This window comes from Homo sapiens, chromosome 12, assembly GCF_000001405.40.
Source record: "Homo sapiens chromosome 12, GRCh38.p14 Primary Assembly".
Classification (NCBI taxonomy): domain Eukaryota; kingdom Metazoa; phylum Chordata; class Mammalia; order Primates; family Hominidae; genus Homo; species Homo sapiens.
In genome coordinates this window covers 92,255,992-92,272,505 of record NC_000012.12, presented here as the reverse complement: position 1 = coordinate 92,272,505, position 16,514 = coordinate 92,255,992, and the positions used below count along the sequence as shown (strand labels likewise).

Genomic DNA, 16,514 nt, shown 5'->3' with positions numbered 1-16,514 from the left:
TGGGCTCATGGGCGGGACTCTAGTTAACCCCTGCGGGCCTGGAGCATTTGGGACAGAGGCCCTGGGAAAAGATTTCCACTAGAAGGGCATTGTCATTTGCCAAACTCTGACGGTGTGTGCAGCCTGTTAAGAATGATAGAGGTGGCATTCCAGCACAGCAAGCTTTCAATATGAGACAGAGGGATGAAAGGAATACAATATGAAAGCAGCAGGTGAAAATGGATGTATCACACAGGGAAAAGATGTTAGAGGAATATTGAGGTATATTAATTCTCCCCAGGTCCCCTCAAATTCAGTAGCTTTAGTGAAAGCAAAGATAATGCTCTTGAATTAGGCCCAGGCTTCTAACAAGTGCCACAGCACCATCTGCTTTGTAGCAAAAGTCATAGGAGGTGGGAAAGACAGACCTGCATGCCATCCGATGATAATTTCTTTAATCATCTCTATTTCCTCAGGAGCTCTCACAAGCTATTGTATGTGGACAAGCTCAGGGAATTTGATGTCTCCCAAATGACGCTTCTCTAGGGTTAGGCGACTCCTAAGGGCAAGACAGCATCTGCCCAGTAGTCTTTGGGATAATCTGCACATGTTTAAGGGCTTGAAACAAGCAACAGAAGCAACTACTTTGCCCCTTGCAAATTTTTCCTAACCAGGTCAGGAGAGGCTTCTGAACTTACTATCGGCAAATTGTCGGACTCTGTCCTTGAAAAATCATTCACCATTGAGAAAGGGCATGGTCTTGTACATTCACACCTGTCTCACTGTAACTTTAATGAAGCAAGAACAAATTAAAGGTAAACATCCTGTAGGGTGTAAACCACCTATATTCCTGAGAGATAGAATGTGGGGATTTCCTTAAATAACTAGCTATAGGCTTTTGGCTTGGGTCCTTTGATTTATTTTCCTTATTGCTGGAGCAACTTGCTCTGTCTCTAAACCAATTTCCCGAATCCCTGAGCAGAGCATGTTATGGCAGTCTCTCATAACTAGACCCAACTAGTTTGAAGCCACCTGGACTTTGCCCTAACTTGGCACCAGACATCCATTTGGAAAATTTGGGCCAGCTAATCTTGCCATGCTTCTTCCTGTTGTCCCTGGGTAACCTTCCCCAGCTTCAGAATTTCAACCACCCGCTGCAGTCTGATGAACTCCAAATCTATATCTGTAGCCCCAAGCTCTCTTCTGAGCCTCAGCCTAGACTTCTCAACCTGAGTGTACAGTGGACACCTCAGACAACATGCCCCAAACTGAAGTCAACATCTTAGCCTACAACTTGCTCTTCTCTTCAATTTTCTAGCTTTGTTAGTGGTGCTACCCTCACCAGTCACTGGAACTGGTTACCTTTTACTTTTCCGTCTCCACCCACCCTCACATATATCCAATCTATCACCATGTTGTGCTGATTTTACATTCTAATTAGTTTTTCTTTAAATGTATCTCTTTCCTTTCATTTCTACCCACTGCTACTACCATAATCCAAGCTCTTAGAGTCATCCTGGTTTGCCCATAACTAGTCCTTCTGCCTTCTGCCTTAACTAGTTAAGACTGTACATGACAGCTTGAATAATCTATCTAAAATGCTGAAAGTCTTTAAAAACTCCCCATCATTTAGAGAACTAAACACTAAACTAATTATCCAGCCCCTCTTTGACTGCCGTCTCCAATGTTACCTCCCAATAACTCCCTCTTTCCCTTTATAATGCTTGTAATACTCTTTTAATTTCCCACGTGTGCTTCCAGCCCTGTGCCTCTGCAGGAGTTATTCCTTCAATCTGGAGTGCCCATCCTACCCTTCTTCACAAGCTAATTATGTCTGACTCATCTTTTAATACTCAGCTAAAGCATTATCTCTTCCAGAAAACCTCTTGTGAACTCCCAGAACAGAACAAGTACCATTCCTCTCTATTATTCTCCATAACATTATGTAGATATCTCTGTTATTATCCCCTTTGTTTATTTTTCTCACTGGATTTTAAAACATTTTTTTCATCTTTGCCCTTAAAGTGCCTAGACTAGAAACTAAAATGATGCTTGATTTTATTTTTCACTGAATTCCTATGTCTTTATATTTTTGGACCCTCATCTATGGAATATTGATTCTACCAGCAAATTTCTTTGATTCACTAAGATGCCATAATGTATCTAAACATTTTTTAAAGTATCTAACAGCTTCCAAGGGTTTTTGAATATCTTCATTTCTTTTGACAAAGTCTCACTCTTTCACCCAGGCTGCTCACTGCAACCTCCACCTCCCAGGTTCAAACAATTCTTGTGCCTCAGCCTCCCGAGTAGCTGGGATTACAGGCGAGTGCCACCACACCAAACTAATTTTTGTAATTTTAGTAGAGACGGGGCTTCACCATGTTGGCCAGGGTGGTCTTGAACTCCGGACTTCAGGTGATCCTCCCACCTCGGCCTCCCGTAGTGCTGAGATTACAGACGTAAGCCACCATGCCTGGCCGAATATCTTTATTCTTGTAGACCCACATCTTCTCTATAACCCACAATACTTACTTCTCCAAAACCACTGACCTCTTGGAAAAGTGACTTGTAGACCAGGTGTCTTCTGAGGTGCATGTTTCCAGTGACTGACATTGTGGCCTTACTTTCTTGGCTGCAGTTTTGGGGGTTCTCAGACAATCACAACAACATTAAACAAGCCAGAGCAAGCTAGCAAAATAGCATCTTAGGTTAGGTTAGAGACCTAACAGAGGCATTGCTGGAACACAAGGAAGTCTCTAGAGAATATGTAGGATTCAGGCAGAGAGTCTCTGCCACTTTGCCTAATTAGAAATAAATGCCTGGCACTTCATTATCTCAATTAAATCTTTTTGTCCACCTGCTGGATACATCACACTATTGAAGATATCATTGGGGTTAAGATATCAATCTCTGTCTGTATGTCAAGGCTGGACGTGGTGACTCACACCTGTAATCCCAATACTTTGGGAGGTCGAGGTGGGTGGATCACTTAAGTTCAGGAGTTTGAGACCAGCCCAGCCAACACGGTGAAACCCTGTCTCTTCTAAAAAAAAAAAAAAAAAAAAAAAAAATCAAAAATTAGTCAGGCATGGTGGCACATGCATGTAATCCCAGCCACTCAGAAGGCTGAGGCAGGAGAATTGCTTGAACCAGGAGGTGGAGGTTGCAGTGAGCCAAGATCATACCACTGTATTCCAGCCTGGGCAACAGACTAAGACTCTATCTGGAGAAAAAAAAAAAAAGGATATACTAGGCAAAGCAAGGAATTTTAAAGATGCAAATTTTCTTGAAAGCATGATCTAAATACACAGATTATGTTGTGTTTCTGTTGTAAAATTCTTCCTGTCTCCCCTGGTTACCTTTGGGATCAAAATCCTTATGACACAATATCCCTGAGAGTCATTACAGCATAGAAGATAAGAGGATGTGTCCTAGCACCAGACTGAGTTGAGATTCCAGCTCAGACTCAATAAATCAACTCCCCAGCTTTCAGTTTCCTCATCTGTAAAATGGAAATAATAAAATAATAGTATTTACTTCACAGGGTATTGTGAAGATGAAAGCAAAGATATGGCAAGAGCTCAGAAGAGTACCTGGCCCATAGTAAGTATTCAGTACAATTCAACTATTCAACTATTGCTGTTTGATATAAGACATGCTCCTTTCTTCATCTGCATTTGTCCATGTACTTCAGCTATATTGAACTTGAAGTTCCTCTCTACTACATCGTTCTCACATTGCTTTGCACCTGCTGCTAGGAAAGGTTTTGCTTTCTTTTGGCTAATTCCTACCACTCCCCACTCCCCTTGCCCCATCAGTCTCTGTCAAGAGACCCTCTCATGTATCCACAAAGATCTCTGTGCTTCCTGCCCCCACTATCTGTCCTGATGTTCCTGTACATGTCTGTCTCCCACACTGTACTCTAAAACCCTCAATAGGAAGGATTTTTTCCCTTAATCTCCCAATGTATACACAACTATTGGCATATAAGACATGCTCAAATATATCTACCAAATGATCTATAGACTACACACCAAACACATGTGAAAAGTGAAAATAAAAATGTATCTAATATCCAAATGGGAAAAAATTATTTCTAAATAAGTATTGTTATCTTCAGTGCTTATAGCATAAGCTTTTGAATAGCCAATGATTAATATGTGGCCTTAAGAGGATGGATTTAATTTTTTGGCAACCCTTAAAAGGAAACCAAAATTAGGTTTTTGGTAAAGATGAGCAATCAAACTTGTTAATACCACTTTAGATCAAAAATAGATACGGCTGGATAAGCAAAATTGTACATCTATAGAATGAAATACTATTCAGTGACTAAAAGAAATGAGCTCTTAAGCCACGAGAAAGCATAGAGGAAGCTTAAATGCATATTGGTAAGTGAAAAAGGCTGTTTAAAAAGGCTACATACTGTGTGATTCTAACTATATGACATTCCAGAAAAGACAAAACTGTAGAGACAATAAAAAGATCAGTGGTAGCCAGGGCTGGAATAACAAGCAGGAAAGGGATGAGTAGGTGGCAGACAGGAGATTTTTAGGGTGGTGAAACTGTCTCGTATGCGACTGTAATGTTGAATGCATGACATTCTGCATTTGTCCAAACCCATGAAACTGTACAACACAAAGAGTGAACCCAAATGTAAACTATAAACTTTAGGCCAGGCGCAGTGGCTCATGCCTGTAATCCCAATGGCTTGGGAGGCCAAGTCAGGTGGATTACTTGAGGTCAGGAGTTCAAAACCAGCCTGGCCAACATGCTGAAACCCCATCCCTACTAAAAATACAAAATTAGCCAGGCGTGGTGGTGCATTCCTGTAATCTCAGCTACTTGGGAGGCTGAGGCAGGAGAATTGCTTGAACCCAGGTGGCAGAGGTTGCAGTGAGCTGATATTGAGCCACTGCACTCCAGCCTGGGTGACAGAGTGAGACTCCATCTCAAAAGGAAAACACCACCACCAACAACAGAACTATGAACTTTAGTTAATAATAATGGATTAATATTGGTTCATCAATTGTAACAAATATACTACACCAAAGCAGGATGTTAATAATAGGGGCAACTGGGGCTGGAGAAGAAGGGCTATATGGAAACTCTTTGTACATTCTGCTCAATTTTTCTGTAAACCTAAAGCTGCTCTAAAAAATAATGTCTAGTAATTTTAAAAAATAGATACAGCTACCAACAAAGAGTCTGATGATCTCCTTGTGTGATCCTCAGGCAGTTTCCAATAGCAATTTCAAATGAAAAATTCCACAGGAGTTTTCAGCAATGACAGCATCATTAGTATAATAACAATAGTTAACATTTACTGAGCACTTACTATATCCCAGTCACTTTTCAAAATGCCTCACATGTGTTAACTAATTTAATCCTTGTGACAACTGTGTGGGTAGGGACTATTATTATTCTCATTTTGCAGGTAAGGAATCAAAGGCACAGAGAGTTTAATCACATTGCTAATGATTGCAAGGTTAAGAGGTAGCACTGACTTTAAACCCTCACTGTATAACCTGGATTCCAGATTTTTAACTGCTGTGCTATTCTGACAATTAATCCAAGTAGCATTTCAAGCAAAAGATTTTGAATGACTAATGCTAATTGGCTTATAAATTATAATGTGTTTGGCTGAAAATTACAGAATGCATAATTTCTTTTTAAACAGAGTCTTACTCTGTCACCCAGGCGGGAGTACAGTGGCATGATCTCAGCTCACTGCAGCCTCCGCCTCCCAGGCTCAAGTGATCCTCCCATCTCAGCCTCCCGAGTAGCTGGTATTACAGGTGCATGCCACCATGCTCAGCTATTTATTTTAAATTTTTTTTGTAGAGGTGAGGTCTCACTGTATTGCCCAGACTGGTCTTGAATTCCTGGGCTCAAGCAATCCTCCTGCTTCGGTCTCTCAAAGTGCAGGCATTACAGGCACGCGCCACTGTGCCTGGCCCAGAATGCATAACTTATTTTGGGCTAAAACATGCAAACCATTCATTATCTCACTTAAAAATAAGTCCAGGGCTGGTAGTTCCTTAGTTATTTCCAGTGACTTTGGGTTGGCATTGCTGAGACTTTTTGGCCTAACTCTCATGGTTGCAGGATGGCTGAGGAATCCTAAACATCACCTCTCACATGACAGTATACAAAGCATCTATCTTCTTGTTATGAAAGACAACATTTCCGAGGAGTTTAACTGTGTCACATGGCCACCTCTAAAGAAAAGTCAGGGAAGCCAGTAGCTAGCAAAAAAGACCAGCGTTTTAAACTGGCTATGTTGCCTCCTGAACAAGGTTCTGCTAACACTGAGGATGGGCAGATGGTTTTGAGGTGTGCATTGCAAGTGTCTGCCACAATGTCTTTAAAAGAAAACCAATCAGTGCTGCTTTATCTTAGTATCTTGAGTAAGAGCACAAGGATGGTTGCTTAAGATGCATCATTTCTCCACTTTTATACACCCCAACATGCCAAGGGATATGACACTTTCCTATCTGTAACAGTGGCTCCCTATGGCAGTCATTCTTGGGAATCTGTCCAAATCCCCGAGTTGAGGACTGAGAATTGAGGGAAAAATCATAATCCAGACAATGAGACAGGGTCCCACATAAAGCAGACCAATTCCTTTTTTCTTTCTTATTTGCTGTAAGACTCCCATTGAAATCTGGGATCTTTTTATGCATCAGTTTGTTTAATTATGAAATGGTGATAAATCTACGATCACAGAGATGTAGAGGGGCATACAATATATAATCAAATCATAGTATTATTTTAGAAGCAAGTATTTTAGTTTATTAGATCATCCAAACAAATAGGATATACATTTTTAAGTTTCATAAGCATAGATGTTTTTAAAAAAATCTAAAACCTGGCCGGGCACAGTGGCTTATGCCTGTAATCCCAGCACTTTGGGAGGCTGAGGTGGGTGGATCACTTGAGGTCAGGAATTTGAGACCAGCCTGGCCAACACAGTGAAACCCCATCTCTACAAAAATCATACAAAAATTAGCTGGGAGTGATGGTGTGTTTCTGTAGTCCCAGCTACTCGGGAGACTGAGGCACGAGAATCGCTTGAGCCCAGGAGGCAGAGGTTACAGTGAGCCAAGATCGCGCCACTATACTCCGGCCTAGGTGACAGAATGAGACTCTGTCTCAAAATGAATAAATAAATAAAATCTAAAAATTTAAAACTTGTCAATTCCAATCTAAGTATAAAATTCTAATGAGTTCCACATTATGCCAGAAAGCTTAAATACCTTGATTTTCTGTAGAAGAGTGATTTGAAATTTCATTTCTATGTAACCAAAACAGTGATTGAAAAGAAAATGTTAGCTCTGTCTGAGTGAATTACAAGTATATTTAAAGCCAGTTAGAATGATTTTTATTTTATGTATTTTTGCCTTAGCAGTGGTAGCCTAAGTCTACTTCTTTCCATTTGGTTGGGTGTCAACCGTCCCTACACTAAGCTCATCCCTTATGTAGGTCAGAGCCCTTTAAAAACATGTAAGGATTTATATTGAATGCTATGGGAAGATGGCTATGGTTTAAAGATAATCCTTCTATTGATCTACAATGCTGTACTATAGCTACAGCTTGCCTTAATAAGATTAAGTCCATGATTGCATTCCTTTGGAAACAGGGTATGATGGCAGATCATTTGGATCAACTCAATGGAAGTGGTAAAATAAAATCACAAACTATTAGTGCTGGGAGGAATCTTAGCAAACACCTGGTCAATATCCTCATTCAATGTAGATGTCCCCTCAATATCTTCTGTTGATCTCTTCAGGGATGAAGAACTCCCTTCTTTCAGAGGTAATTCACTCTATGTTTAGATATTAATAGTTATTAGAAAGCTCTTCCTCATCTGAAATGATTTTAATCCTGTTTTCTGAGGCTCACATGATTAGTTCTTACACCTAGCTCACCATTTTTTAAAAGTTACCTTTTCAATATAACCACCCCAATGTTTCCCAGTATTCATATAATGTGGTTTGCCTACTCCACGCTATCTTTTTTTATTTTTCATTAAAACTATTCTGATTCCTCAACATGTCCCTCTTACAGCATGCACACGGACTTACGCTAGGTAACGTTTCTTTCCATTATGTTCCTGGGGCAAGAAAGGGGGTGTTTAATTCTAGAAAATGTAACAACTAACTGTCAAAAGTTTATGAATATATAAAATTAGCTATATATTCTATATGGTAAAACATAAGAAAGTAGCTATATAAATAGTGAAACATAAGCTACTTACTTATTTGTTCTCCATCACTGTAAAAATAGAAGAATTTTCCAGGAAGAGAATAAGGGAGAAACAAAGAAGGAATTAAAAAATAACTATATACACCATACCTTAAAGGGACTTGCCACTATTTTCTCTAAGAAATCCTGCTACCTTTTAGTCATTCTATACCCATGGTCCCTAAACTGAACCCAAAGCCCAGTGTGGATTAATGAGCTGAGAATATAGTACAAATACTTGTATTAGAAACTCAATAACAGTGATTCCCAAGTGTGGTTTGTGGACCTAAACTTTTTAAAAATGGAGACTCCTGGGCCCCACTCTTAGAGATATATCTGGGATAATGCCAGAAAAAATTGTAGAGTGATGTCTATGTGCATTCATGTGTGTGGATGTGTGTGCTTCATTCTCCAAGTGATTCTGATACGTACTCAAGTGTAAGAGTTGTTGTTTTCATCTTATTATGCAGCCCAAAACTCCATTAGAATTTTGAAAACAATTAAATGTTGTCTCAAACTGGTCAATAGTTAACCAACACCTGTCTTTTTCCTGTAAATCCAGATAAACCAGGTTTCTGTCTACTCATACTAGACTTATGAGGCTTTTTTTTAGCCTAAGCTCAAAACTTTATGTTTATCCTTTTACATTTCTTCCACTAATTTGGGACATTACTTCCAGACTTCTCTTATATTATAAATCTTAAATCTTTCATATAAGACCTTAACTAAGCTGTATGTACTAATTTAATCATTAAATCCAATATCCCTGCAGAATTCTCATCTGAATTTCTGATTAAAATGATTAGAACTGAATCAAACTTAGATCCAGCTTTCTTCCACACCCCATTATCATCAATTTACCCACATAGCAGTCTATGATCTTTTAAAATAACAAATCAGTGACTACATAGGCACAGGATTAATTTAAAAAATCAGGTCACATCATGCTCCAAATTAAAATTCTCTGTTGAATGCCTTTGCATTCACTATAGCCTTCAACACTGCACTGACCTGGCCTCTTGGACTTCATCTGCCTCTTTACTGTTCTGCCAACATGTCAACCTTATATCTCCAGCCTCAGGTCTTCATATACCTGCTAGTTCCTTGGTCTAGAATGCTCTTACATCAGATCCCTTCATGGTTGCTTCTGTCTTAATAGTCAGGTCTCTGGTCAATGTCAACACCTCAGACAGGCTTCCCTTCCCACTCTAGATAATGTGCATGCTTATTTTTATTTAACATCTGTAATTATGTTTATTTGTTTAGTTGTGAAATTTCATGAGAGCAGAATATTATCTTGTTCATCACTGTATCTCCAGCACCAAGAAGAGTACTTGGATTATAAGAAGTGCTCGATAGACATTTTTGGATAAATGAAAGGATATAGAACCATTTTGCTTATGTGCAATAATTCATTAATCAGCCTCCTTTAGATATAATTATTCCATTAGCTACCAGTCCTCCCCATGGGTCTATGTTATCCACAAGTACATCATGAAAGACTTTACCAAATTTGATTATTGATGCTAACATCCATGTGTGACATAACTGTGATCATTTCCTGATATATATGTGACAGTCCAAAAAAGAAATCAGGTTAATTTGATAGAGTGCTTTTTTTTTTTTTTTTTTTTTTTGTGGCATGATCTCAGCTCACTGCAACCTCTGCCTCCAGGGTTCACGTCATTCTCCTGCCTCAGCCTCCCAAGTAGCTGGAATTATAGGCGCGCACTACCACATCTGGCTAATTTTTTTTATTTTTAGTAGAGACGGGGGGTTTCACTATATTGGCCAGACTGGTCGCAAACTCCTGACCTCGTGATCTGCCTGCCTTGGCCTCCCAAAGGATAGAATGCTTTCTTAGTGAACCCAATTTGGTTCTTTGTGATCATTTTAGAATTTTCTAACCTGGGACTTGCCATGAATTTGTATCAGTTACACTGGTTTTTAGCCTCTTGATTCCTCCTCCTTTAAACATGAGGACAACCTGTTGAAAATCCTGGTTTTTATCTATCACCAATTTCCTTCTACCCCTCTCATACTTAATGATTCCCAAAAAGTTATATGCAGGGACCTGTACTCACATTCACAGTTCTCTAGTGTGATGGAGGTGGCAAAGCATATGACTGCAGGTCAGTGTATGGGCTCAAGGACGGTGCTTCTCAAACCACAGTGTACATAAGAATCACCTGGAGATCTTATTAAAATGCAGATTCTGATTCCATAGGCTGAGATTCCACATTTCCAACATGTATCTGGGCAATAACAATGCTGCTGACTTGTAGCCATCCACTGGCTAGAAGGCTCCAGAGTCAGGCTGTCTGGGCTCAAATCCCAGCCCTGCCATGGGCAAGCTATTTAATTCCCTGGGCCTCAGTTTTTTCATCTGAAAAATGGGGATAATAGCATCTACCTTCTACGTTTTTTTCCCCTAATTGGCGTAGAGAATATGTATATTCTAGATAATGTATACATATATATGTATGGCATAGAGAATATATATAATATAATATATATATGGCACTTAAAGCCCTTGCATCTGATAGTCAATGTTTGCCATGATTATTAGTATCTTGGAATGTAATTCATCCAGACTTGAGCTCATAAAATGGTCATGTACTTTCTTATCTGCACATCTATCTCTAGCTTTCATTCCCTTTTTAAACTGACCTTCTATTTTTTATATTTTCCAATTTATTGTCTTTGATGGTAAAAAGGAAATCATAGAGGAATGAATGACTTTTCCTTGTTTTTGTCACAGATGAACCATGTGTTACTTACTCCAAGTAATCAGCTTATCTTTCCATGTTTTTCTTCTTATTTCAATATACTCTGAAATATCCTGCTTAATATTCTTGGCATTTTGGTAAGCTTCAGTTTATTCTGACACTATTCAGTGTCAGGAGTCCATTTAACAACAATAACAGAATCATTTTTGCATTAGTTATTGAGCATAGCTAAGCGATTCATTCAAATGAGGTGGTGTAGCCTAAGCGAGCAAGAGCTTCTCACACTCAGTCTTGCTTTCCAGTTGAGTAGGCCAAGATGATAACAGGTGAGCTTTCAATAACTGCTGATGTAGGACAAGTAGGACGGGTTGTGTAGTTTATTATCAGTTCTCCAGGAACTCACCACACCCTTGTTTAAAGATAATTTAGAAAATTGGAATGGTGATGAAGGGGATAATTGCTGGGGTGCAAATTACATCAATTTCTACAAACTTGTTGCCAAATTTCAGTTTATTTGGATAAAAAACAACTTGGAGTTGTAATGTTACCAACATGCCTGATAAATCACGTGCTATGTTAAGTATTATAAACATTAAAATGATAAGCCTGCACTTCTCACAAGAAGGCCATCATTAGACTAAATGATAAATTAGAAATGATCCACACCTTGGCCAGTGGCAGAACACAGGCAGAACCCAGGGCAAACCATGTTGTATGAACTTTAACTAATGACAACTTGCACTTGCATTTCATTTAAGAAATTATAGCATCTTCCCACATATTTTCTTTGTTCCTCTCGGTGAAATGTCAAATAATCCCACAGAAACACTTTTTCTCTTTTTCCCACGTTCATAGTGGTGTTCAATAGCTTGGGCTCTTACATCGAATTACCTGATTGTATTCATTGGGTCCTCCATGAAACAGATGATAAAATGGGATAAAATATACAGGGATTTTTTTTTTTTTTTTCAGAGAAAATGCCAGTGTTGGAGAAAATGGGAGAGGAAGCTGGAAAAGCCTGGGGGAGTTATCATCAGTGATACATGTCTGACCCCAGGTGAAGGAGGGAGGGAGGGAAGGTTGGGTTGAAGTGTCCTAGACTATAGTAAAGTCCAGGAGAGATTTGGCAAGGATCTTGAGGAGTTCTTAAAACAAAGTTAGCTGTCAGAGGACCCCGTATTATCAATGAACAAACTTATCATAGTATTCCCAGCAATGGGTTTCAGTGAGCAGTAGCTGGGTCCCTTAATCAATAATGCATCCTGTAGTTGGAAGTCTATGAGGCATAATTTCAAAGGTGCCCCACGGTTTCTATCCTAGCTCCGCCATTAATTGGCTGTTATTCTAGCAAGTTACTCTGCCTCTCTTTAAACCTCATCTTCTTCATTTGTAAAGTGGTAATGCTAGTAGTACCTTCTCTGTGGTGTGGTTTAAATAAGATAAAGAATGTATTGTTGTTTTTCTCTGGGGCACCTGGATCCTGACTGTACCAACTGCTTTCAACTGATTGGTCTGTGTTCAGGCTGAAGTCCTGGGCTGAAATTCATAGATGTTGTGTTCTAAAAGGAAATGCTTACTAATCTCATTCATCAGAAAGAATCTGAAATATTTTATCTTCTGACTTTTGTATATACATCTCTCCTTTTAAAAATGAAACAAATAAACTTACAAAGAACAAAGATATAATAGACTGGGAACAAAATAAACAGCCTCAGGCACATGTGGCACTATACCAGAAGATCTAACATTTGTGTCATTGGGGTGCTAGAAGAAGAGGAGAGAGAGTTTGGGGTTGCTAAAGTACCAGACATAATAGCTGAAAACTTCCAAAATTTGACAAAAGATATAACCTATAGAATCAAGAAACTGGGTTAACCCCAAATAGGATAAACCCAAAGAAATCTATATCTAAAGCACATCATAATCAAACTTCCAAATATTAAAGACTAGGAAGAAGTCTTGAAAGCAGTGACGGAGAAACAACAATTTACCTAAGGAAGAAAAACAGCTCAAATGACAGTGGAGTTCTTATCAGAAAGCATGACAGAAGGAAGTGGTACAACATTTTTCAAGTGCTGAAAGAAAAGAGCTGTCAATGCAGAATTCTGTATCTAGTGAAAATTTCTTTAGAAATGAAAGGGAAATCAAGATATTCTCAGATAAAGGAAAACTAAGAGAATTTTTTTTTTTTTTTTTACCAGCAGGCCTTCTCTAGAAGAATGGCAAAAGGAAGTTCTTTAAACAGAAAGGAAATAATAAAATATGGACCTTCGAATGTTAGGAAGAAAGAGAAAATATGAGAAATGTTTATTTATAAAATGTGTGCAATGAGCAAAAATATGGTTAAAGACAATGGATTGCTTCTTTTCTTGGGTCTTCTAAATCATGTTTGATGGCTGAAGCAAAAATTATAACAGCATCTTATGTGGTTCTAAATGTATACTGAGGAAATATTTAAAACAGTTACATTTTAAGCAGGTAATGAGGGACATACAGCTCAGAAAGGAAGAAATAACACTTCCCCTATTCCCAGATGACATGATTTCCTGTGTAGAAAATGCCATGGAATCTAAGCAAATAAACAAACAAACAAAACAATAAAAGATCCCACTAGAATCAATAAGTGAGTTTAGCAAGTTTGCAGAATACAAAAAAGCACACATGAGAAACATCAGTTGTCTTTCTATATGGTAACAGTGAACACATGAATACCAAAATTAAAAATACAATACCATTTACAATCAACCAAAAAATATGTACTTATGTATACAGGAATTATGTGTTGAAAAATACAAAATGCTGATGAAAGAAATCAAAGAAGAACTAATTAGAGAGAGACATACCATATTTATGCATTGAAATATTGACATAGTGAAGATGTCAGTTCTCTTCAAATTGATATACAGGTTTAACGCAATTCCTATCAAAATCCCAGCAAGAGTTTTGTAGATTGAGACAAGACTATTTCTAAAATTTAGATGAACAAACATAGGAATTAAAATAGCTAAACCAATTTTGAAAAAGAAGAATAAAGTGGGAGAAATCAACTCCCTCATTTTAAGACTTACTATAAAGCTACAGTAATTAAGACTGTACGGTATTGGCAAAGGGCAAACACATAGATCAATGGAACAGACCAGAGAATCAAAAAATAGACCCACAAAAATATGCCCGATTGATTTTTGACAAAGGTGAAAAAGCAATTTAGTGATGGAAAAATAGCATTTTCAACAAATGGTGCTGGAGCAATTGGGCTTTCATGAGCAGAAATATCTTGACCTAGCTCTCGCACCTTATGCAAGAATTAACTCAAAATAGGTAATGGACTTAAATGTAAAACACACAAAAAAGTCAAGTCTTAGACTTGACACCAAAAGCAAAGTCCATAATAGAAAAAAATAGGTAAATTAGATTTAACTAGACCTACTCAAAATTAAGCCTTTTTTTCTGTGAACAACTCTGCTAAGAGGATGGAAAAACTAACTACAAACTTGAAGAAAATAGTTGCAAAGCACATAGCCAACAAAAGATTAGTATGTGGAATAGATAAACAACTTTCAAAAGTTAACAGTAAAAGACAAACATCTAATTAGGAAATTGACAAAAGATATGAAGAGACACCTTACTAAGAAGATACACAGATAGAAATTAAGCACATGACAAGATCTTCAACACCATTAGCCTTTAAATGAAATCAAGACCTCAATGAGATATCACAACACACCTATCTCCTTATATGTCACATGTAAACTCTTAGTCTAATAGAGAAATAAAAGTATGGAACATTTTATAAGATATATAGCATATGATAAAAGACAAGTACATAAGCCAGCACTAAGCCTGTAGTGAGTGTGTACTATTTGCCAGATATCCTATGTGTTTTATCTCAGTTTACCCTGACAATCCCTTGAGGCAGTAATGTAGAAGATACATACTCAATATTTTCTGGTTAAATGAATAAGTAATTTCATCTCTGAATGGTTGAATGAGTGGATGGATGTTTGGAATTGGTAAAGGGTAGAACAATGTAAAACATTTTAAGACATAACACAGGCTGGGCATGGTGACTCATGCCTGTAATCCCAACACTTTAAGAGGTTGAGGCAGGTGGATTGCTTGAGCTCAGGAATTCAAGACCAGCCTGGGCAACATAGTGAAACCCTATCTTTACCAAAAAAATGCAAAAAATTAGCCAGGCATGGTGGTGTGCACCTGTAGTCCCAGCTACTTCAGTGGCTGAGATGGGAGGATCACCTGAGCCAAGGAGGTTGAGGCTGCAGTGAGACATGATCACACCACTGCACTCCAGCCTGGGCAATGAAGTAAGACCCTGAAAAAAAAAAAAAAAGACATAAGGCATTTAGACATATGAGGCTAAGGGAGCTTATTTCAAGAGATTTCTGATCATAATACCAATGCCATAATACCAACTTATAGGACCAGGGAAGAAAGATGCAGGCAAGTCAAACAAAATCAGAAAAATTAGTCACCCCTTGAAGTTGAACATTGTAAACAAGAACTCCTCAAAGTAGTACGCATCCTTGAGAATAGCACATATCTTCTTGGTATAAGTACATGATAAAGACATTTCAGTTAGAACTTTTCTGTTAACTGCTGCATGATCATTTGCAAGGCTATGCATCTTTGATTTCTCAGAAACCTGGCTAACCACCCCTAGGAAATCAGCTATTGTTTCAGGGTAGCAGGGAATCCACAATAAGCTTCCTGACAAGGAAGGCCTCTAATGGAGCTGTGCATCTACTGGCATGACCATTTGCCTGCCTTTGACCCTTGGCAGGGATTTGACCTCCAGCTTGAGGTTTCTATTTCCTAGCTTTTGACCAGGGGTAACCACACTTGACCTCTGGCCTCAGTGTGATCTCTGACTGCCAACCCCCAACTTGGCTTTGATTGTTCTGCACAATCTGTAGTCCCCCAGGGTCCAGAAAAATCTCTTCCACTAGCTCCCACCAGCTGTTACCACCTTTGTTCTCTTTCTCTCCTCTAGTCCTGGCCAACTGAAATCTACAGCCCCTAACAATGGAGGGGCCCCTCCACAGTGCCCTGTGTGCTGTCTCTGATCGATTGCTAATAATTATCATGATAAGTCCTCGTTTTTCAAAATGCTAACCATGCTATGACTTGCAATATCTCATTTAGCACTCAAGAATTCCATGAGGAGGATATTATTTATCCCTGTTTCTGAAGATCAGGACACTGAAGCTCAGCAAAATTGAAAGTAACTTGTCCAGGTTCACATTGCCAGAAAGATTTAGGACCTGTTCTTTTTACTTCAAATCCATTTCCCAAGCTTTCTATTTATTAAAGATCCTCCTTTGGATATCCAATATTGGTTTGGGTACTGAATATCCTCACTGTGAAAAACCTCTGTTTGTTTTAGTTTCAAAAGCTGTTATGTTTTTCAATATACCAGAAAATTCTTGGGCAGACTTTAAATCCTTTCAACCCTCTTATCTAATAAGAGCTGTGACAACCAGTTCTATGAAGTTTTGACCAGCTTTAGCAGGTGCAAGCTGGCATACTTCACCTCAACTTTCT

The 16,514-nt window shown here is 38.5% G+C and overlaps 1 long non-coding RNA gene across 2 annotated transcripts in view; it reads left to right on the top strand.

Annotated features, from left to right (window-relative positions):
* Positions 1-13,243, top strand: part of LINC02391 (long intergenic non-protein coding RNA 2391) — a 104,570-nt gene extending 91,327 nt beyond the window's left edge. For both annotated transcript variants that reach the window (XR_007063404.1, XR_007063403.1), the window contains 3 exons: positions 3,527-3,585; positions 11,928-12,012; positions 13,160-13,243. This is a non-coding gene — a long non-coding RNA (long intergenic non-protein coding RNA 2391). The remainder of the gene's footprint in view (positions 1-3,526; positions 3,586-11,927; positions 12,013-13,159) is intronic.
* The last annotated feature ends 3,271 nt before the right edge of the window (positions 13,244-16,514 follow it).